Source organism: Homo sapiens, chromosome 20, assembly GCF_000001405.40.
Source record: "Homo sapiens chromosome 20, GRCh38.p14 Primary Assembly".
Classification (NCBI taxonomy): Eukaryota; Metazoa; Chordata; class Mammalia; order Primates; family Hominidae; genus Homo; species Homo sapiens.
This window is the reverse complement of record NC_000020.11, coordinates 49817078-49839029: the sequence shown is the minus strand read 5'-3', so window position 1 is coordinate 49839029 and position 21952 is coordinate 49817078. Positions and strand designations below refer to the sequence as shown.

General features: G+C 42.2%; 1 protein-coding gene and 2 pseudogenes across 18 annotated transcripts in view, besides 2 other annotated features; all 3 read right to left on the bottom strand.

Annotated features, from left to right (window-relative positions):
• The window catches only part of SLC9A8 (solute carrier family 9 member A8), a 79415-nt gene that overhangs the window by 53213 nt on the left and 4250 nt on the right, over positions 1–21952 (bottom strand). For all 18 annotated transcript variants that reach the window (NR_048537.2, NR_048539.2, NR_048540.2 and 15 more), the window contains exon 3: positions 15889–15969. Coding sequence is in view for 14 of the 18 variants with exons in the window: in XM_011528736.3 (XP_011527038.1) it covers positions 15889–15969 (81 nt within the window). In the remaining 4 variants the exon portion in view is untranslated. The remainder of the gene's footprint in view (positions 1–15888; positions 15970–21952) is intronic.
• Positions 1958–2458: an enhancer, noted in NCBI's record as "H3K4me1 hESC enhancer chr20:48453109-48453609 (GRCh37/hg19 assembly coordinates)". NCBI's record gives its function as "activates a minimal SCP1, AML or CMV promoter by ChIP-STARR-seq in naive H9 embryonic stem cells {active_cell/tissue: H9 hESC(naive)}" and the evidence as "EXISTENCE:reporter gene assay evidence [ECO:0000049][PMID:30033119]".
• Positions 2459–2959: an enhancer, noted in NCBI's record as "H3K4me1 hESC enhancer chr20:48452608-48453108 (GRCh37/hg19 assembly coordinates)". NCBI's record gives its function as "activates a minimal SCP1, AML or CMV promoter by ChIP-STARR-seq in naive H9 embryonic stem cells {active_cell/tissue: H9 hESC(naive)}" and the evidence as "EXISTENCE:reporter gene assay evidence [ECO:0000049][PMID:30033119]".
• On the bottom strand, positions 7665–9928 carry GLYR1P1 (GLYR1 pseudogene 1; annotated as a pseudogene).
• On the bottom strand, positions 10978–11034 carry RNU7-72P (RNA, U7 small nuclear 72 pseudogene; annotated as a pseudogene).

The window sequence follows — 21952 nt, the reverse complement described above, 5'->3', positions numbered from 1 at the left end:
AAGTTCAGGCATGTTTCCATAAAGCTGACAGGCTCATCACTCTTATAAAGTGGCCACCAAAAATAATTCTCAAAGAAGCAGCATGGGCACAATTTATGATTGCTCTGTTACTCCCTAGATAAACGACTCTTAACCCTCTGTTGGTTCACCAGAATCACCATGGGAACTTTTTATAAAATAAAGACGCCCAAGTAGAACTCCAGACCTACTCATTGTAGGGTAGGAGTTCACAGTCTCGGTAGGAGGTGACACAATCACAATCTCGGGTAGGAGGTGACACAAAGCAAGCCTGCAGGCCATTCCATGGATGCTTCAAAACGAAGACTTCACTTTCCCATGGAGGAAGGAGCTTTCGCCATCAACGAGAAGATGGAAGCACAGCTTACTGGGTGGGCAGGAGACAATACCAGAACACAGAAGCTGAGCAGGAAAAGGACGTGCACTAAAACTACCTCAGGGTGGGTAGTTTCAGGTGAAGAGGGGAGATAAGTTCATTTTCACTTTATAAACCTCCATGCTATTTGAATTGTTATATAGTATTAAAAAATAATAAAACTATTTTGAAAAAGAGGAAGGACCCAAGACAAAATAAAGCTGAGCTATAAAAGGAGTCAATGAATACACATTCCCTTGCCAGAGGGCATGGAGCATGGATTTGAACCCATCTCCTGCTACAGTTCCCCAACAGCTCCCATGTTCTTATTTTTTCAGGTTGTAATTACATTTTAAGGAGCTTTTACATGTTTTATTGGCCAAATAGTATGCGGATACTATGTAAAATGTCATAAATAAGACAAAAGCCCCTTTAGATCATACCCCACTTCCACCCCCATCTTCGTTCTCTCTCTTCCTAGCCCAAGGTAACCAACTATCTTGGAAAGTTTGGGAAATATTATATCAGGCCCTTCTCTATCCTCTTACATATATTTAACTCAACAGTACCAGGGTGTGAGTGTTTGTGTGTGTGTGTGTAAGTGTATGCATGGCACACCTGAGTGTATTTATTTATATAAAATTTATGGTAGTATAATGTATCATCCTACTACTTGCTATTTTGTTCAACATTAAGTCTTAGAGATCTAGTCAGGGATTATTATGTATAGATTTGCTTCATTCCTTTTAACAGCTGGGCAGGATAGTATAAAAATGCCACACAGAACCGACCAGGCGTGGTGGCTCATGCCTGTAATCCCAGCACGTTAGGAGGCTGAAGCGGGCAGATGACCTGAGGTCAGGAGTTCGAGACCAGCCTGGCCAACACAGTGAAATACAGTCTCTACTAAAAAAATACAAAAATTAGCCGGGCATGGCGGGCGCCTCTAATCCTAGCTATTCAGGAGGCTGAGGCAGGAGAATCACTTGAACCCAGGAGGCAGAGGTTGCAGTGAGCTGAGATCATGCCACTGCACTCCAGCCTGGTGGACAGAGTGAGACTCCAACTCAAAATATTATATAAAATAAAATGAAAATAAAAATAATAAAAAAAATTGAATAGATATTTTGGAAAAGAAGATATACAAATGGCTGAGAAACACATGAAAAGATGTTCAACATCATAAATCATTAGGGAAATGCAAATAAAAACTACAATGAGATACCACTCCATACCTACTAGGATGGTTATGTAAACCAGAGTATCTGAGACAAGTCTCAGTCAAGTTAGGAAGTTTATTTTGCCAACATTAAGGATGACCACCCTTGACACAGCCTCAGGAGGTCCTGACGACATGTGCCCAAGGTGGTCGGGGCACAGCTTCGTTTTATACATTTTAGGGAGACATGAGACATCTATCAACAATGTAAGATGTACATTGGTTTGGTCTGGAAAGGTGGGACAACTAGAAGCAGGGAGGGGGCTTCCAGGTCACAGATAAATAAGAGACAAACAGTTTCATTCTTTTGAGTTTCTGATTAGCCTTTCCAAAGGAAGCAATCAGATATGCATTTATCTCAACAAAGAGAGGGGTGACTTTGAGTTCTGTCCTTTGTCCACAAGGAATTTTCTTGTGTACAAATTGAGAGGGAGGTATGTTAACTTTTTTATCTTAGTAGCTATCTTTTTAGAAATAGAATGGGAGGCAGGTTTGTCCTAAGCAGCTCCCAGATTGACCTTTCCCTTTAGCTTAGTGATTTTAGGGTCCCAAGATTTGTCTTCCTTTCACAGTTATAATTTTAAAGATGAGAAATAAGTGTTGGCAAGGATATAGAGAAATTGGAACACGCACTCATTGCTGATGGGAATGTAAAATGGGGCAACCACCATGGAAAACAGTTTGGCAATTCCTCAAAAGTTACCTTATGACCCAGCAATTCTACTCAAAGAAACTGAAAACATGTTCATGTAAAAACCTGTACACAGATATTCCTAACAGCAGTATTTCAAACAGTCACAGGGTGGAAAGAGGCCAGGTGTGGTGGCTCACACCTGTAATCCCAGCACTTTGGGAGGCGCAGGTGGGTGGACTGCTTGAGGTCAGTTCAAGACCAGCCTGAACAACATGGTGAAACCCCGTCTCTACTAAAAATACAAAAATTATCTGCGCATGGTGGTATGCACCTGCAGTCCCAGCTACTTGGGAGAGGCAGGAGAATCGCTGGAACCTGGGAGGCGGCGGTTGCAGTAGGCCGAGATTGCGCCACTGCACTCCGGCCTGGGTGACAAAGTTAGACTCCATTTCAAAAAAAAAGTGGGAAGAACCCAAATGTCTATCAACTAATGAGTGAGTAAACAAAATGTGGTATATCCATACAATGTAATATTATTCAGCAATGAAAAGGAATGAAGTACTGGTACCTGCCAGAACATGGAAGAATCTTGAAAATACACCAAGTGAAAGAAGCCAGACACAAAAGACCATATATTTTACCATTCCATTTATATGAAATGTCCACAATAGACAAATCTACAGGGACAGTAATGGTTGCCCAGGGACAGGGAGGAGAGCTAAAGGGCATGTGGTTTCTTTTTGAGGTGATAAAAATGTCCTAAAATTGACTGTGGTGATGGCTGCACGACTCTGAACATACTAAAAATTGTTGTACATTTAAAATGGGTGAATTGGCTGGGCATGGTGGCTCATGCCTGTAATCCCAGCACTTTGGGAGGCTGAGGTCAGGAGTTCAAGACCAGCCTGGTCAACATAGTGAAACCCCGTCTCTACTAAAAATACAAAAAAAGCAGTTGGGCGTGATGGCGGGCACCTGTAATTACAGCTACTGGGGAGGCTGAGGCAGGAAAATCGCTTGAACCCAGGAGGCGGAGGTTGCAGTAAGCTGAGATTGTAGCACTGCACTCCAGCCTGGGTGATAGAGCAAGACTCCATCTCAAAAAAAAAAAAAAAAAAAAAAAAGTGAATTGTGTGGCATACAAAGTACATCTCAATAAAGCTGTTGCCAAATAAAAAGTACCACCGATTGTATGATTCTATTTCTTTATACGAAATGTCCAGGACAGGCAAATTCACAGACAGAAAGTAGATTGGTGGTTTCCAGGGGATGGGAGAAGGGAGAAATGTGGAAATGGGGAGTGACTGCTAATGGGTATGAGTTTCTTTTTGGGGTAATGAAAATGTTCTGGAATTAGGTAGAGGTGATGGTAGTACAACTCTGTGAATATACTAAAAAACTCTGAATTGTGCACTTTAAGATGGTGAAATTTATGATATGTGAATTATATTGTACCTTTTTTTTAAAATCACAACCTTTTGAACCATTGCCCCACTGATGGTTGCCTCCAGCTGTTTGCTATTAACAGTGGTGCTGCATTGAACATGCTTGTACATGCCACTCTGTGTTAAGAGTATCTCCCTGTGGAAGACATTCACAAAAAAAAAAACAAACCCAGACTATCTCCCTAGGGCAGATCCAGAGACTACAAATGGCAGGTTTACAAAGCATAAGCATTTTTAACTCTGAAAATATTGCCAAATTATCCTCCAAAGTGGTTGTACCGACTTACACTTCCACAAGAAAGCGTCCCACATCCTCAGTCGCGCTGGATAATCATCAGATGTTAACATTTCTGCCAACATAGTGGGCAAGAAATTGTACTTTAATGTTTCAATTTGTATTTGATTCAATTTGCATTCAGCAATCATCCTGATTACTAGGGAAGTTAAACCTCTTTCCATGGTTTCAGGCTTCATTTTTAAAGCTTAGTGTTTTTCTGCTTTACTAAAACCTCAACTTTCTTTTTCCCTTCTAAATGTATACCAAACCTTAATGCCATGATTACCTCGTTTATAATCACACATGAAGCAGTTACATTTGAAAATCAGTAATTATTCTATTGCCCAAGCCTGCGTCTTTTTATTATTTATGATGTACTAGGAAGCGCTGTAAAATACAATGTGATATTATTGTTATTATTACTTAAATAATCCTTTGTGCAGCATTAAATTGGCAAACTACCACTTTACCTCTTGAGATTGAGGCTCATAGTTAGGTCAAATCAATCTACCCAACAGAGAAAATGAATGTATTTCACACAACTGGCCACCAGATATTATATATGGCATATATATAGTGTGTGTGTGTATATATACAGTATATATATATATACACAGTATATATATATACAGTATATATATATATATACAGTATATATATACAGTATATATATATACACAGTATATATATATACACAGTATATATATATATACACAGTATATATATATATACAGTATATATATATATACACAGTATATATATATATACACACTGTATATATAGTGTGTGTATATACATATACTGTGTGTATATATAGTGCATATAGTGCGTATATACAGTGTGTGTATATACATAGTGTGTGTGTGTATATATATATATATATATATATATATATAGAGAGAGAGAGAGAGAGAGAGAGAGAGAGAGAGAGAGAGAGAGAGACAAGCTAATATTACAAGCGTGCACCACCACGCCCGGCTAATTTTTGTATTTTTAGCAGAGACAGAGTTTCACCATGTTGGCCAAGCTGGTCTTGAACTCCCAACCTCAGGTGATCCGCCTGTCTCAGCCTCCCAAAGTGCTGGGATTACAGGCGTGAGCCACTGCGCCCAGCTTATATTTAAAAATATTCACAAAAAAATAGAAATTGTAAAAGAGTGAGGTTAAAAATAAATAGAAACACAAGTTCTAACATTTTCCTTTGCTCCTAGTTGATCTTTGTGCATACACCTAATTAAGGACACCCCTCAATTCATTCAGAGGATCAGGAGCAATTAATGATTATTTGTTGAGCTGCTTCTTTCAGGATTTGTCACTTTCAATTACTTCTAATCCTCAAAAGAACACTGTAGGGAAGCTCAGAGAGTTTAAGAAGCTTTTCTGAGAGCTTAGGGCCAGTAAGGATGCTGGCCCGTTGGCTCGGGTGCATCCTACCATCTCATCATGCTAAAGACACAGGAGACTGCACTACTGCAGGCTGCCTACACTACTACAATGAACTGCCAATGCTCGCTCGCTCACTCCCAGAGTGCACTGCAGGGCTACCATTATGACTGTAAAATATAAGTATTCCTGGTCAGTAAGGTTACATGAAAAATGTTTCAAATGTATTAATTTTTTTTGTTACCAAGAAATGTTTTATTTTTCTTGCAGTAGTTTTGTTAATTGTGCAAAATCACGTTTTGTTTTTGCCATTTAGACATTATCACACAATCCTATTCTGAAAGACAAGTGTTCATTAAAAACAAAGCAAAAATAAAAATTCACAACTTTAATTACCTAGATTTGCCATTTAAAGGTTTAAAGGGAAAAAAAGGGAAGTGCTGTCTTACAAGCTTTTTCACAAGTGTCACATTTTCTGCTTAAAAGGGAAGGACACGCTAGGCATGGCGGCTCACACCTGTAATCCCAGCACTTTCAGAGGCCAAGGTGGGCGGATCACGAGGTCAGGAGTTCGAGACCAGCCTGGCCAACATAGTGAAACCCCGTCTCCGCTAAAAATACAAAAATTAGCGGAGTGTGGTGGCACGTGCCTGTAGTCCCAGCTACTTGGGAGGCTGAGGTGGGAGAATCGCTTGGACCCGGGAGGGGAAGGTTGCAGTGAGCTGAGACCATGCCATTGCACTCCAGCCTGGGTGATAGAGTGAGACTCTGTCTCCAAAAAAAAAAAGGAAAGGATTTCAAAACAAAGGTGAAACAGCTTAACAAATATTTATAAAAAGGAACTTTACAGAATTGTCAACAATATTAAGACAACACTGACTAACCGGTTACATTACCACATCTTCCTCCACCCCCACCCCCAGAATGTGTCCTGCCAAGACTAGAACAGGCTTTGTGTTCAAACAGAAATGTTTCAAAATCCCAGTGAAATAAACTGTGCTAAAAACCTGACAGGCATCTTCCCTGCCCTCCCACCTCGTCTTCTGCAATCCTCTAACTCAGGTTCTAATCTGTGAAAGGGCCAAAGCCGTGAGTGGGGAGAGGGGAAGGACCCTGCCCCAGTGTGGCTGCCTTATAATATACATTCCACCATAAGTGCTGGTCTTCTGCAAATTATGATTTTGGAAAATCCAACCCATGTAGAGGGATAAGAAATTGACATCCCTTGGGTGACTTCCTGTTCTTATGCAACATCCCAAGCGCCCTCTGGTCCCCTATCCAAGGAGAAATGCTAGGGCCTCGAGGATGTCCCAGACCCACCCCAGAGGGTCAGTCAGTTCAGGTAGGTCAGGCCAGTTCTTTTCACCCCCGACAGACCCCAGGCCTGGAAGCACCGAAGACCATGATGCTGGCTGGAGTGAAGACACTCATTTCCATATCAAGAGCTGAGCCTAAGAAATGCTTATCGTTGGTCAGGCTGGGTCTGGGCCAAAGAAGGGACAGACAGACAGAAAGAAATACTGTCTCCATGAGAGGAAGGTGGGGAGAAGGGAGGACAGAGAGCAGTGGGCATGCAAGGGGCTTGGCAGGGCAGGCTGGAGAATGTGGGACTGCGGGGAGGAGACCAAGGTCAGAGCAGCTCTTCAGAGGCAGGTGAAGAGTCTGTGGCCTAACAGAAACAGGAAGGAGTGTCCCCCAACCCCACTCCTCTTGGCTCCTCACTAATGACCCTGAGGACCCCCTCCCAAGGACTGGAATGCAAATCCAAATACTAGAACAGCCCAGGGCGGGGCAAGCGCCCACTGTGGCAGTGGTGTCTGGGGTGTCACTTCCAGGCAGCGAAGGCCAGATGCTCACCATACTCCCTGGAAAGCCAGGGCCTCATTTTCGCAGGACTCTGCCAGTCTCTTTTCAGTTCACAAAGGCGTCTAAGGAGTGCTAGGTGCACACTGGACACTTAGACATGAACATCTTTCTCTTTCTCAGCTCATCACCTGAGTTTGGGGGCCCCACGGGACCCTCTGTCTGGAGTCTGGTCTGGCTCATCTGGGCCCAAGTCCTCTCCCTGCAGAGAATTCAGCGGGGGACGTGGACATGACTATAGCCTCTTCGCTCTTGGGGAAGCTGTGGGAAGGCTTCCAACTCTCATTGCTGATTCTAGTTCCTTGACTGGAAGGGGTTTGAGATAAGACAAGCTTGGAAGAAGAAAAAAAGCCAGGCAGCTGTTTCTGGGCAGTTTCTATCCTGGGGTGAGAGAGAGAGAGACAGAGAGAGAGAGAGAGAGAGAGAGAGAGAGTGTGTGTGTGTTTGTGTGTGTACACAGCCACCTCCTCGTGTGTGTGCGTGCACACACAGCCACCTCCTCGTGTGGAGGCCAGTGCCCAGCTCAAGAGCTTTCCCATGAGCCAATCCTGCTGACACTCATCCCCTCCATACCAGCCTCAAAGGAAGGGTGCTGCTGTGTGCTGTGCTGATGGCAAGTCTCAAAGTCTGTGTAAAAGGAAATGGAGACAGGTGGGCTGGTCCAGAGCAAAGTCCCAGGCCCCTGACCCCATGTGAGGAAGAGGGAGTTAGCGGAGAGATTAGAGGGCTGGGGGTGGGGGGTCCGACGGCTTAGTGTATGCAGGCTCAGGACACAGCGGACATATTGTTGGACTGGTCCAGTGCCTTGGCTCTTTTGTACACCTGGTTGGCTGCAGCTGCCATGGGAGTCAGAGAGTTGACCGCATTGCCCAGCGCAATGGCTAAGCAGAGATCCTTCTGCATGTATTTCAGTAGAAATCAGGCTTAAAGTTTCCTTGCAGGGTATTTTGGCACTTCTGGTCTAGGAAGATGCTGGCCAACTGTCCCTGATTGAGGATGTCCAAGAGTGTCTGCTGGGCCTGATCTGTCACCTAGGCCAGGGTCAGCACCTCAGTGATCATGGCTATGAAGCTCCCTTGGACTATGTTTACAATCAGCATCATCTTGGCTGCGTTGCCAACTTCACCTAGGAAGGAGGAGGTCTTCCCTATCGCCTGGAAGCAGCTGCTGCAGTCCTCCTATAGGCCCCTGTCTCCAGCTGCTAAGATCACCAACATTCTGTGATTAGAAAGCTGCTGATTCCCTGAGATGGGAGCTTCTGGAAAGCGACCCCCCGACCTGGACGCAATCACCCAGGCCAGCTAAGTGACTATGTCAGCGTCCACCGTTGACATGTCCACGTAGCACTTTCCAGGGCAGATCCCTTGCAGCATACCACTGGGGCCCAGCACCAGGTCCTTGGCCGCCTTGGGATCCAACACACGGGCGAAAGTGATGTCACAGGTTGAGAGGACTTCAGCAGGGGTTCTTCCCAGGCGGGCCCCCTCCTAGATGAACAAATCACGTTTCTTGGCAGTGCGGTTCCAGACAGTCACTGTGTGACCCATTTTTAGCAAGTTAGAGACGATTCCACTTCTCATGAGACCAAGGCCCCCAAATCCCATCTTTTTGTCTGTGATGCTGCCATTCACGGCCGTGCTGTCAGCTGCCCGGATGGAGGTGGAACCAGTTTCCTCTTCACATATTTTCAACTTCTTTGTGATTGCCTGGTAACAGACAGAGATGGCTTGTTTGGCTTAGCAGGAAATGATGGAAATGAGGATCTGCATCTTTAACAGGCTCGCTTCTGGTCGGCTGCCATTTAAATGCAGCCACTGGTCCGGCCATCATCCACTTCAAGGTACCGGACTCCACGATGGTGACATTCTTCTCATTCTTTGGGGGCTGACCCCGCTTCTGGGGACTTTGCTCTTGGATTCTTTTCAGAGGGGATTTGGAGCCTGTCTCTGAAGAGCCCGAAGACACCCCCTTCTTTCCATCTCCCATGATCTTCTTCACTTTTCCTTCAGACAGGCTGTTTGCACTTCTCATCACCTGAGTTTGGCCTGCTTCTCTCCTCACTGGAATTAAGCCGATTCTTGTCATCAGCAGAATTGTGGGATGACGTCTGATCTTTCCCTTTGGGCTCTCCTGAGAAACTCTTTGGCGGCATCCACCGCTTGCTGGAATAGTTTACCCTTGTGAATCTTTATCATTTCCTCTTTATGAGCATGATATGGCTTCAGCTGTTTCACTTTAATCCAGGCATGATCTTATGTTCCAAAAAAATTTCACAAAGAAGCATTTCTTTCCATGAGGTTCTTTTTTTTTTTTGAGATGGAGTCTCACTCTGTTGCCCAGGTTGGAGTGCAGTGGTGCGATCTCGGCTCACTGCAAGCTCCACCTCCCGGGTTCATGCTATTCTCCTGCCTCAGCCTCCTGAGGAGCTAGGACTAGACGCCCGCCACCACGCCTGGCTAATTTTTTTTTTTTGTATTTTTAGTATAGACGGGATTTCACCATGTTAGCCAGGATGGTCTCAATCTCCTGACCTCGTGATCCGCCCACCTTGGCCTCCCAAAGTGCTGTGATCACAGGCGTGAGCCACCGCGCCCAGCCCCATGAGGTTTCTTCAAGTCCTTCGGTGGATTAACGATCTTTCCTGGTGAAGGAGGATACCAGCCGAGTTTCCCCCACATCAAGTTGCTGAGCAGCGAACTCACAGCCCCCATCTTACTATCCAACCATCCCCGACGCATGGGCCACCGAAAACATCCTCAAATGTATTAATAATCAGGTTACAAAGTGTAGAATCCCAGCACAAGTTCTCTCTCTCTCAAAAAAAAAAAAAAATCTATATATACACACATACACACACACCTATGTATTTGCACTGTGTTAAAAAGAAATAAATGCATACATACACACACACACACATCTATACTGTGTGCCATGCACTGTGCTAATGTGTAAAATATATTAATACATTATTATTATTATTATTATTACTATTTATTTGAGACAGAGTCTCACTCTGTCACCCAGGCTGGAGTGCAGTGGCACAATCTTGGCTCACTGCAACCTCCGTCTACCGGAGTAAAGTGATTCTCCTGCCTCAGCCTCCTGAGTAGCTGGGATTACAGATATATGCCACCATGCTTGGGTAATTTTTGTATTTTTAATAGAGATGAGGTTTTGCCATGTTGGCCAGGCTGGTTTCAAACTCCTGACCTCAAGGTGATCCGGCCACCTCGGCCTCCCAAAGTGCTGGGATTACAGGCATGAGCCACTGTGCCAGGCCCTTTTTTTTTTTTTTAATTAAAAACAATTTTTTGGCCAGGCACAGTGGCTCACGGCTGTAATTCCAACACTTTGGGAGACCAAGGTGGTGGATCACCTGAGGTCGGGAGTTCAAGACCAGCCTGACCAACATGAAGAAACCCCGTCTCTACTAAAAAATATATATATAAAATTAGGCGGGGTGCATTAGCTCACGCCTGTAATCCCAGCATTTTGGGAGGCCGAGGCAGGCGGATTACCTGATGTCAGGAGTTCAAGACCAGCCTGGCTAACATGGTGAAACCCTGTTTCTACTAAAAATACAAAAAATTAGCTGGGCGTGGTGGCAGGCACCTATAATCCCAGCTACTCGGGAGGCTGAGGCAGGAGAATCACTTGAACCCGGGAGACGGAGGTTGCAGTGAGCCGAGATCGTGCCATTGCACTCCAGCCTGGGCGGCAAAAGTGAAACTCTATCTCAAAAAAAAAAAAAAAAAAAAAAAATTTTTTTTTGGTGGGGGTACGGGGGCTTTCCAACAAAAACTGGAAAGCCTGCTCGACAAATTCTAAAAGAGCTGTAACTGGCCAAAAGTACTATCCTTAAAAAACAAAAAAATTAAAATCTTTTAGTAGAAAACAAGAAGGAATAGAATTAAATAGCACAAATATGGTTTAAAAAGTTATGACAGGGGAGCACTTTTGTATATTCTATTTACCCAATGATTCAATCAAATCTAGTTTGTAAGTTAGATCACAGTTTTTCTAATCATCAGCAGTATTAAGGCTAAACTTTGGCAACTGAAAGTCAAACTTTCAGCCCTCCACTTATAACCCTAATCTGGCCTTTTCTCACTCTAAAATAAAGCATGATTTTTGGGGTTGGGGGAAACTCCTGTCTTTGGTATTATTCAACAGAGGATGCTGGCCATACGCTTACAAGTATTTCATTTTCTTTTTCTTTTTTTTTTTTTTTCGAGATGCAGTCTCTATCTGTTGCCCAGGCTGGAATGCAGTGGCACGATCTCAGCTCACTGCAACCTCTGCCTCCCAAGTTCAAGTGATTCTCCTGCCCCATCCTCCTGAATAGCTGGGACTATAGGCGTGCACCACCATGCCTGACTAATTTTTGTTATTTTTAGTAGAGATGGGGTTTCGCCATGTTGGCCAGGTTGTTCTCGAACTCTTGACCTCAGGTGATCTGCCCGCCTCGGCCTCCCAAAGTGCTGGGATTACAGGCATGAGCCACTGCACCCAGCCTCATTTTCATTCCTTACAAATTTTAGCCTAAAATATATACATGAATCAGCATTACACAGCCAGTAAAAAAATAAATATGGGCCGGGCACAGTGGTTCATGCCTGTAATCCCAGCACTTTGGGAAGCCGAGGCAGGCAGATCACTTGCGGTCAGGAGTTCGAGACCAGCCTGGCCGACATGGTGAAACCCTGTCTCCACTAAAAATACAAAAATTAGCCAGGCATGGTGGTATGTGCCTGTAATCCCAGCTACTCAGGAGGCTGAGGCAGGAGAATCGCTTGAACCCAGGGGGCGGAGGTTGCAGTGCGCCAAGATCGTGATTGCACTCCAGCCTGGGTGAAAGAAGGAGACTCTGTCTGAAAAAAAAAAGATAAATAAATAAATATGTGAACTCAACTAATACATGGAAAGAACAGAAAAAATGATATAAACTCAAATTAAACTATACAAAGGCATCTAATACATACGGACATGTCTACACATGGACTGGAAGAGAATGAAACAAGATAAAAATAATTGTCAATAAACAAGATTTTTCTTTTTTCTATATATAGTAGTTGTTTAACTGTGCAAAAGAAATTAGTTTTTAAAAGGCCCAAACTACAGAATTCCATAAAGTATGGAAAGTATCCTGAAAGCTTCGAACAGGGGCCAAGGAACTCTTTAGAACTTCAGGTTGATACTATATTTTTATAAAGAATGAAAAGTGGCCAGACAGACACTCATTTAAAAATACAGTAAGGTAGAAGGAGGGGACATGTGCTTTTGGAGTGCAGATGGTCCTTTTCTATACTGAGAATTTCTTAGGAATGCTGAACACCTAACTATAAAGCAAAAGACCAGTAATGTCTCGAAATGACTGCAAGCTACAAAGCAACTTCTGGCAGGAGAGGAAAATTTATCCCTGAAAGAACGAAAACCATACTTTCTCTGGCAACTTCTTCTAGATTCTTTTTTGGCACAAAGTTGGAAATTCTTGAAATGGTAGATATCTCAATATTTTGTTACACTTTGCTCCAGCTGGAGAAAAACGTTTTCCTTCCATTTCTTTAGCTTTATGAAATACAGAATTACTTTGATAGCTATGTCAGCATTTACAAATTCTAACCAAATGTCCTCTAACATAATTTTTAAAAAGTACTTTCTGGACCTCAGCACTCTCCCTGGAAGTGCTCTTGGGTTTCCAGTCACCTGAGTTAGCAAGTAAGCATTGAAAGCAAGACTGCCTTTCCATCACTTCTCCCAAGACCTAGCTATTCAGGCTACAATTATTTCTGCAACATCAGTGAAGAAATGAACCTTGTAGATGGAGAGCTCTGGCTGACTCCCAACACCATTCCACCCCACTCCCAGTTGAGGTCGCCAGGTGGTCAGAGTTCATCCTGCAACTTTTGGTGCCAGAAAGAAGAGGAGGTTCTCTCTCCCACTGCAGTTACTGCTTTAAGGGCTTACCACACCAAGAGCCTGTCTGAGAACGGATCAGAGTACCACAGGGAGAGAGCCTGCCTGACAGCGAAGCCGGGGAAAAGGGATTCACTGCTGAGGCATGGAGAAGAACTGGGTCCAGGAGACCTGATTCAGCTAAGTCTCAAGCTAATACTACCTGTAGTTTTGCCAGTTACATGAGTCAAGAGGTGAGCGCCCCTACCCCCACCAATTTTTTTTGTTTGTTTGTTTTGAGACAGAGTCTTGCTCTGTCACCCAGGCTGGAGTGCCCTGGCGTTGACTGGAGCTCAATGCAACTTCCGCCTCCTGGACTCAAGTGGTTCTATTGCTTCAGCCTCCAGAGTAGCTGGGATTACAAGCACCTGCCACCATGCCCAGCTAATTTTTCTATTTTTAGTAGAGACAGGGGTTTCACCATGTTGGCCAGGCTGGTCTTGAACTCCTGGCCTGAGGCGATCCACCCACCTCAGCCTCCCAAAGTGCTAGAATTACAGGCATAAGCCACCGCGCCTGGCCAATTTATTTTCTTTTGAATTGGGTTTTGTCCCTTGAATGGAAAGAGTTCTATGTTAGTTAAGATGCTTTTAGTTGCAAGTAAAAGAACCTAGACTAAAAATGGCTTAAACAATAGATGTTGGTTTTGGTTTTTTTTCTTTATTCCAAGTCAACAACAGCTAATAGATGTTTATTATCTCATATAAAAGGTAGCACTAAGATAGGAAGTTTCAGGGCTATCAACTCAACAAAGCAACAATGCTATCAATAATCTGGGATTCCCATCTGTCCCCTCGGCAATCCTTAGCATTCTGGCTTTTGTCTTTGAGCCACAGTAGTTGCAAGATGGCTACCAGTCCACTAGGCATCACACTCTCATTCAGCAGCATCAAAGAAATGAAGGGGAAATGTCTCATTACTATCTGAGAGGAAAACATTTTCCAGGACCCACTACCTCATCACGCTTCCCCTTGGTGTCACTGGCCAGAACTGGGTTTCACACTGCCTTGCCGCCCCTACCCCTCTGAACTAATCATTGGCAGAGAAGAGTGAAATTAACATGATGGCAAAGACCAATCTTGACTTGGAGGGGCCCATCTTCCTTGAGCACACTGTGGCAAGATACCTGATCAAATTTGGGGTTCTATTTTCAAGGAAGAAGGGGGAAATGACTCTTTGGTAAGCCACCAACAATGTCTGCTCTAAGTCCTAATAGAAGCACTGGTGTTCAGCAAGCTGCAGTTACCCAGACATTCAAGAAACATGAGGAGCTTGAAATTCCAAATGAAATTATAAGAATTATCATTTTAATTTTCATGTGTATAATATCTAAATACACACCAACTATAATTTTGATAACAAATTTATGTAAGAAGCTATAAAACTGACCACACAACTGTAAATTCCTTGGAGTAGTTCTTAGAGCCTTTACCGAATGTCCCAGAATTATGGGTATTAGTCACATAGGTTCTTTTCAATATGCCTAATAGCAGAAAGGAATGTTAATGAGCAAGGCTCCTATTCTTAGAGCTCTATGACTATCTTACTAGCTAAGGTTGTTAGAATCTACCAAGATATATTGCTAAAAAACATGCTAAAAACAGAACAAGAACTTTTTGAGTAAAACTGGTTTTGAAACCTGTACTCGAGGTCAACACTATCCAGTGGTGCCCATTCCTTAAAATACGGCATCACCTGGAGGTCATAAGGCATAAATGAGATAGATGACAATGTGAAGCCTCACAAGCCAGGATCTGGCACTTAGTACTGAAGTCCAGGGAAAATACAGGAGAGTCTGAACCAAGGTAGTAGGACTGCTGGGGTGATGGGAGGAGGGGGAGGCTAGTGAACAGAGTCTAAACAATCATTTCCAAAGCTAATCTAAACAATAACTATCTTGTGAAAGAATTACTACTCCACTAAAGATCTACCAGGCAATGAAAGTTAATTTCTAAACATCAGCAGTGATCAGGAAAAATTAAATACCATCAGTAGGCAAGTAGAAACTAGTAAAAGTGACTGCAATATAATAAACTGATAAAAAGCTTTGGCTGACCTTAGTAAGACTTTATTTACTGTGCCTTACATGTCTCCACCCACATTTTAGCCTTGAACTTACACTTACGGAAATTCCCCACTTCTTCCTTCACTAACCACTTCAATGAACTTGTGTGTGCATTCACACCTGTTATTACACGGGTTCATTCACTGCAACTAGATCTCAACAGTTAATTGGCACAGGAAACAAAACAGAAATGTAAGTGGGGTAGAGCACAATGCTCTCTGAAGACTTTAGACCTGACTCTGGCATTAAGTGAGCCATTTCTTCCTCCTAAACTGTAAAGTCAGAGTCCCTTCTGTCTATAAAATTGAGTGATTCTATGAAGTGTCATTACTTACCTTAGTTGAGTTGGATGTCAGCCTAGCCTAGCAGTAGAGGTCAATGTTCCCCAAGGGTAGTTCTACCAGAAGCAAAAGGCTAAGAAAGGGCCTTTGAGCTGTACAGAGCTGTATGGCCTTTGGGCTTCTACATGACCTTTAGGAGGTCACTACCCTTCTTGAGCCCCAGTGTCCTCATCTGTAAAATGGGATCATAGCACCCTTAGGGCAGGTTGCAGTGAGGATCAAATGAGATCAGGGATGTGATGCATCTCTTGTGGTTCCTGGCACTAAAGAGGCACTCAAAAAATGGTAGTTATTGTTACTGCTTTTATTATGGAATCACCAATACACACTTACCTAAAGAAACAACAGCAACACTCTCTGGCAAGAAATGTAATCTGTATCGGATCAGTAAATGCACCAATATGATGCAGATAGCTGTGGAAAAAAAAATAATACAATGTTTTAAAAAAAACACTCAATTCTGAATGATAAACACCAAGTTCAAGTCAGTGGTTATTTCTGGGGGGGTCCTCACAGAAATGGACAATTGGAATAACACAGTGAACTTCAGCGGTGTTTTTCGTGTCTCATTTCTTAAACTGGAGGTACATTTACAATGTTTATTATATTTTCTCTATACTTCTTTGTCTGCCTGAACTAGTTTGTTTCCCAGTAGTTATTGGAAGAGGAACAGAAATCTAACTTTTTTGAGACAGGGTCTCACTGTGTCATCCAGGCTAGAGTGCAGTGGTATGATCTAGGGTCACTGCAGTCTCAACTTCCCAGGCTCAGGTGATTCTCCCATCTCAGCCTCCCAAGTAGCTGGGACTAGAGACACATGACACCACACCCAACTAATTTTTTTGTATTTTTAGTAGAGATGGGGTTTCGCCACATTGCACAGGCTGGTCTCCAACTCTTGGGCTCAAGCAATCCACTCACCTTGGCCTCCCAAAGTGCTGGGATTACAGGCGTGAGCCACGGTGATCAGCCAGAAACCTATTTTTTTATATAAGCTGTTAAACCTTATAAAATTATTTAAAATTATTCAAATTTTTCTGATTCTGAGAAATGGTCTTCAACTTTTTGGAAGTGATTATCAACTGGAACACTATATGGTGAAGAGGAAGTCAATGAAATCAATCACTTTTACATAAATGTAACTGCAACAGATTGCATTGACACAAATTATTTTGCCATCATGTGACTGGCTCTTAACATAGAGGGAAGTAAGGGTTTTACAAACAGGAAAAAGTAAATGGTTTGGTGACAAGAACATCAGAGATCTGAATATGGAACACTCCTGCTCCCCAGCTGGGTGCAGCTGTGTCCTGCCATTCCCATCGGCTGAGGACTTCCCATGAGCCATGAACTAGGCTGAACACCCCAAATACTCTCTCATTTAATCCTCCAACTTCCCTCGGAATTAGCTGTCATTACCACTATCTTCTCTGATTACAAATCAGAAAACTGAGGCTTCTAGACATCACAGCCCCTGTCACACCACTGGTAGGTGCTGCAGTATTGAGTCAGATTCCAAATCTGTGCTCTTAACCACAGCATACCCCACCACCTCCCACTTGGCTGGATGCCTTCATTCCTCAATCTCCAAAACAGAATAATGTCTAACTTTCCTCACAGAGGTGTTGTTATGAAAGAAAATAAGAAGATGTAAAATAAAACGATTTGAAAGGGATATTTCTGCCCCCACCAACCCCCCGGCAAAAAAAATGGGTACTTCACAAAAATTATTCCTGAATGTAATTTCCTAATCCAAATGTTAGCGTGCATGTCTTTCTTTTACTGGGCACCTAGATGGTATACCAGCTCATCAACCACAGTATTAACAGGACTAACATTAATTTTGTTATTTTTTTCAAGGAAATGTTTAAACAATCCACATGCCTGTTAACTGGTCACCCTCAGAGGCTGCACTGACAAATTAGGTTTCTTTAATCCCACCAAAAAACACCAGGTGGCCAGAGTGTTGTAAATGTAGACATTTTGTCCTCTTTTCATTCTGTGCTTTAAACTATCAATCTGTGGTGTTATTTTTATATAAATATTTAACCTAGTTAGAAATCCTACATTAAATACTAATGGCAAGAAAAAAGTTCCAGTGCATAAACATAACATGTGACTAATGAACATGCCCAATGTCTAGACAAAACAAAAAACGGCAAATAAGCACATAAGTGGACAGAAAATAGACCAAGAGAGTTGAACCAGTTTCTGCTCTTCCTTTGTACCAAGCTAGATTTTTAAAAATTTAAGTTATTCTCATAAATAGATCAAACAACTCTTTGCGGCTTTAAGAGCAAAAGGGGAAACTATTAACAGAAAGAGTTAATATAAGGCTCATCAATGCCAGGTAACAGCCTTCAGCCATTAAAAAGAATAAAGTCAGAAAAGACAATCCATAGAAGGGGAGAAAATATTTGCAAATCATATATCTGATAAAGGTGTACTATCCACAATATATAAAGAACTCTTAAACTCAACAGCCAAGAGACAAACACCACAGCTTTTAAACGGGCATAGGACATGAATAGACAAAAGATGTTCAACATCAATAGTCACAAGGGAAACTAAAATCAAAATACAATGATTCACTGGAAGGACATGTAAGATTTTTTAAAAAATACAGTGAGGGCCTGGTGCGGTGGCTCACACCTGGAATCCCAGCACTTTGGGAGGCTGAGGCAAGCAGATCACCTGAGGTCGGAGTTCAAGACCAGCCTGGCCAACATGGTGAAACGCCGTCTCTACTAAAAATACAAAAATTAGCAGGGTGTGGTGGTGCGCACCTGAATCCCAGCTATATGGGAGGCTGAGACAGGAGAATCACTTGAACCCAGGAGGTAGAGGTTGCAGTGAGCCAAGATCATGCCACTGCACTCTAGCCTGGGAGACAGAGCAAGATTCCATCTCAAAAAAAACAAAACAAAACAAAAATACAATTTCATATCCACTAGGATAGCTATAATTTTTTTTTTCCCCGAGACAGAGTCTCACTCTGTCACCCAGGCTGGAGTGCAGTGGTGCAATCTCAGCTCACTGAAACCTCCACCTCCCAGGTTCAAATGATTCTAGTGCCTCAGCCTCCCGAATAGCTGGGATTATAGGTGTATGCCACCACGCCCACACCCAGCTAATTTTTTTGTATTTTTAGGAGAGACAGGGTTTCGCCATATTGCCAGGCTGGTCTCGAACTCCTGGCCTCAAGTGATCTTCCCGCCTCAGCCTCCCAAAGTGCTGAGATTGCAGGTATGAGCCACCACGCCCAGTCTATCATTTTTTTAAAACCAGAAAACAAGTGTTCGCAAGAACATGGAGAAACCGGAACCCTTGTAAAATGGTGCAGCCCCTGTGGAAAACATTTGTCAGTTTCTGAGAAAGTTAAACATACAGTAACCGTTTGACTCGGCAATTCCACTTGCAGGTATATATCCAAAAGAAATAAAAACATTTATCCACACAAAAGCCTATACACAAATGTTCACAGCAGCAGTATTCACAACAGCCAAAAGGTAGAAACAATCCAAATGTTCACTGATGAATGAATAAACATCATGTGGCATATCCATACAGTGGAATATTACTCAGCCATAAAAAGGAATGCAATTCTAACATATGCTATAACATGAATCTTGAGAACATTATGCTAAGTAATAGAAACCAGACACAAAAGGCCACGTATTATATGGTTTCATTTATATGAAATATTCTAAATAGGCAAATTCCTAGAGACAGAAAGCAGAATAGTGGTTGCCAAGGACTAGAAAAGGGAGGGATGGGGAATGACTGCTTTTAATGGTTTTCTTTTGGGGTGATGAAAATGTTCTGAAACTAGATAGTAGTGATAGCTGCACAACATTGTGAATGTACTAGATGCTGCTGAACTGTACATTTTAAAGTGGTTAAAATTGTAAATGTATGTTATGTATTTACTACAAAAAAAAAAGAATGAGGTAGACAGAAAAAACACCAATACAATGATCTCCAAGACATTCTGTGAGATGAAAAGGCAAGTTATGGGACCCCATTTATGTCAAAACAAATTTGCAACTCCAAACATGTATTATTTGTGTTTCTGCATGTACTTACGAATATACATCTGTATATGCAAAAACAAGCACGTTTTCAAGTACACTTGGAAAAAAACCGAGCAAGAAAGGGCAAACACTTCTGTGTGGTATGGAGGGTGTGCTTTCAATTTTTCATGCCTGGAGTAATGACTATGGAAAATATATAAAACACATATCAATCATAATAACTCCATTAAGTTTCAAGGCCCATAAAATGTATGTGTCAAATAATGTTAATTGTTAATCTAGTGTAAGTAAATAACAATGATTCCCCATTTTTTCTTGTGGAGTCAAAGATCAACAACGGTTAAATGCAAGTCAACTGATTTCAAGCTTCTAAAAATCAAAAGTAACTACAGAGTTTTGTCATCCCTTCTCAACAAAGAGGAACACACTGTAATCCTGTCATGTGCTTACAGGACACAAAAGTTACCATTTCATTTGAATTAACTAAAAGAGTAACAAAAAGTGGCAAATGAATTCCAGGTCAGGAGTTCTGAGGTCTAGAATAAACTATGGGCTAATTTCCCTTAATTCACTTGAGTTCATTTATTCATGAATTAGCAAGTTACCTAATAACAGCAATTTTTAAAACACCATCAGATTTACATTGTTTGAACTGGGTGTGGTGGCTCATGCCTATAATCCCAGCACTTTGGGAGGCTGAGGCAGGTGGATCATCTGAGGTCAAGAGTTCAAGACTAGCCTGGCCAACATGGCGAAACCCCATCTCTACTAAAAATACAAAAATTAGCTGGGTGTGGTGGCAGGCACCTGTAACCCCAGCTACTTGGGAGGCTGAGGCAGGAGAATCACTTGAACCCGGGAGGCAGAAGTTGCAGTGAGGTGAGATCATGCCACTGCACTCCAGCCTGGGCAACAGAACAAGATTCCATCTCAGGGGGAAAAAAAAAAAAAAAAAAAAAAATTCAATGTTTGGATATCTAATCAGAAATAAAATAACATGCAACAGGCAAACAATGCCTTAAATTTACTTAAAAAGAAAGCATCATTCTGTTTTGGTAATACATGCTAACCTCCACATAAGCAGAGACACTAACTCATAAACTATCAAGAATCTGATTAGGTGAAAATGAAAGCCATCTAACATTGGTGTGACTCTAGAGTCTAGGTTTATAATCTGTTTGGAGAGGGCAATCCAAGAGAAATATACAGCAAGTTCAGCCTTTCTGGCCCCAAAGATGTATTAACACTGGGCAGGATTTTGCCTGGTTTAAAAAGTACATTATAGAAACCTGTTTTGTGGTCTTTTGTTCAGCTAATCTTAAATGCTCCACGCCCTGGAAGTTACTTTAAAAGTCATATTATACTTTTCAATTTCCCTTAAAAAAAAAGTGATTACAAAAGTTTTTTTTTTCCAGGCCCGCCTTTTATATTGTCTAACATATCAAATTGACAGCAGTGTAAATAGATTAATAATACTCCTTAATCCTGAAGGAAGACTTCAGCTACTAAAGATTTCTTAATCAAGAAAAGAAATGCTTTTCTTCTTTGTCTTCGACTACTATCACAAAAGAAAAAGAAAATAAAACAAAAGAGAGTCCTTCATTGTTGAAGTAATCCCCTAGAAATAGAATTCAACTACATTTACAGGGTAAAAAATTACCAGGGTGTATTAAATCTATATGAGACATTGTATACTTCTGGTCTGTGTACTTTTTCAGTATCGGTTTATAAGTTTCTAAAACTATGACAGACAAGGATGAGTCCTAGGATTTCAAATAAAAAGACCGTATTATTAAAATCTTTTATTTTTTGTGGAGACAGAGTCTCACTATGTTGCCCAGGCTGGTCTCAAATCGCTGGCCTCAAGTGTATTATTAAAATTCTTTGTCCACTCACCAGAGACAGAATATAAATGTAAGAGAAGTTATACTTTTCCTTAATAAACAGTCCTAATACACATCAGAGAAATAAAAAAAAAAAAAAAAACAGTTGCACCTTTTAACTTTCTGAAAAGACCTAATCTCATTAGGAGTATGACTTTGGTATCATTAAAGAAAAGCAGCAAATGAAATGCTTGTTTCACTTTCAAACAAGAATTTGTTTTTGTTTTTTTGGGGGGGTGGGGTATGGAGTTTCCCTCTTGTCACTCAGGCTGGAGTGCAGTGGCGCGATCTCGGCTTACTGCAACCTCTGCCTCCCGGGTTCAAGTGATTCTCCTGCTTCAGCCTCCCGAGTAGCTGAGATTACAGGTGCCCGCCACCACGTCTGGCTAAAATTTTTTGTATTTTTAGTAGAGATGGAGTCATCGTGTTGGCCAGGCTGGTCTCGAACTCCTGACCTTAGATGATCCACGCGAAAGTGCT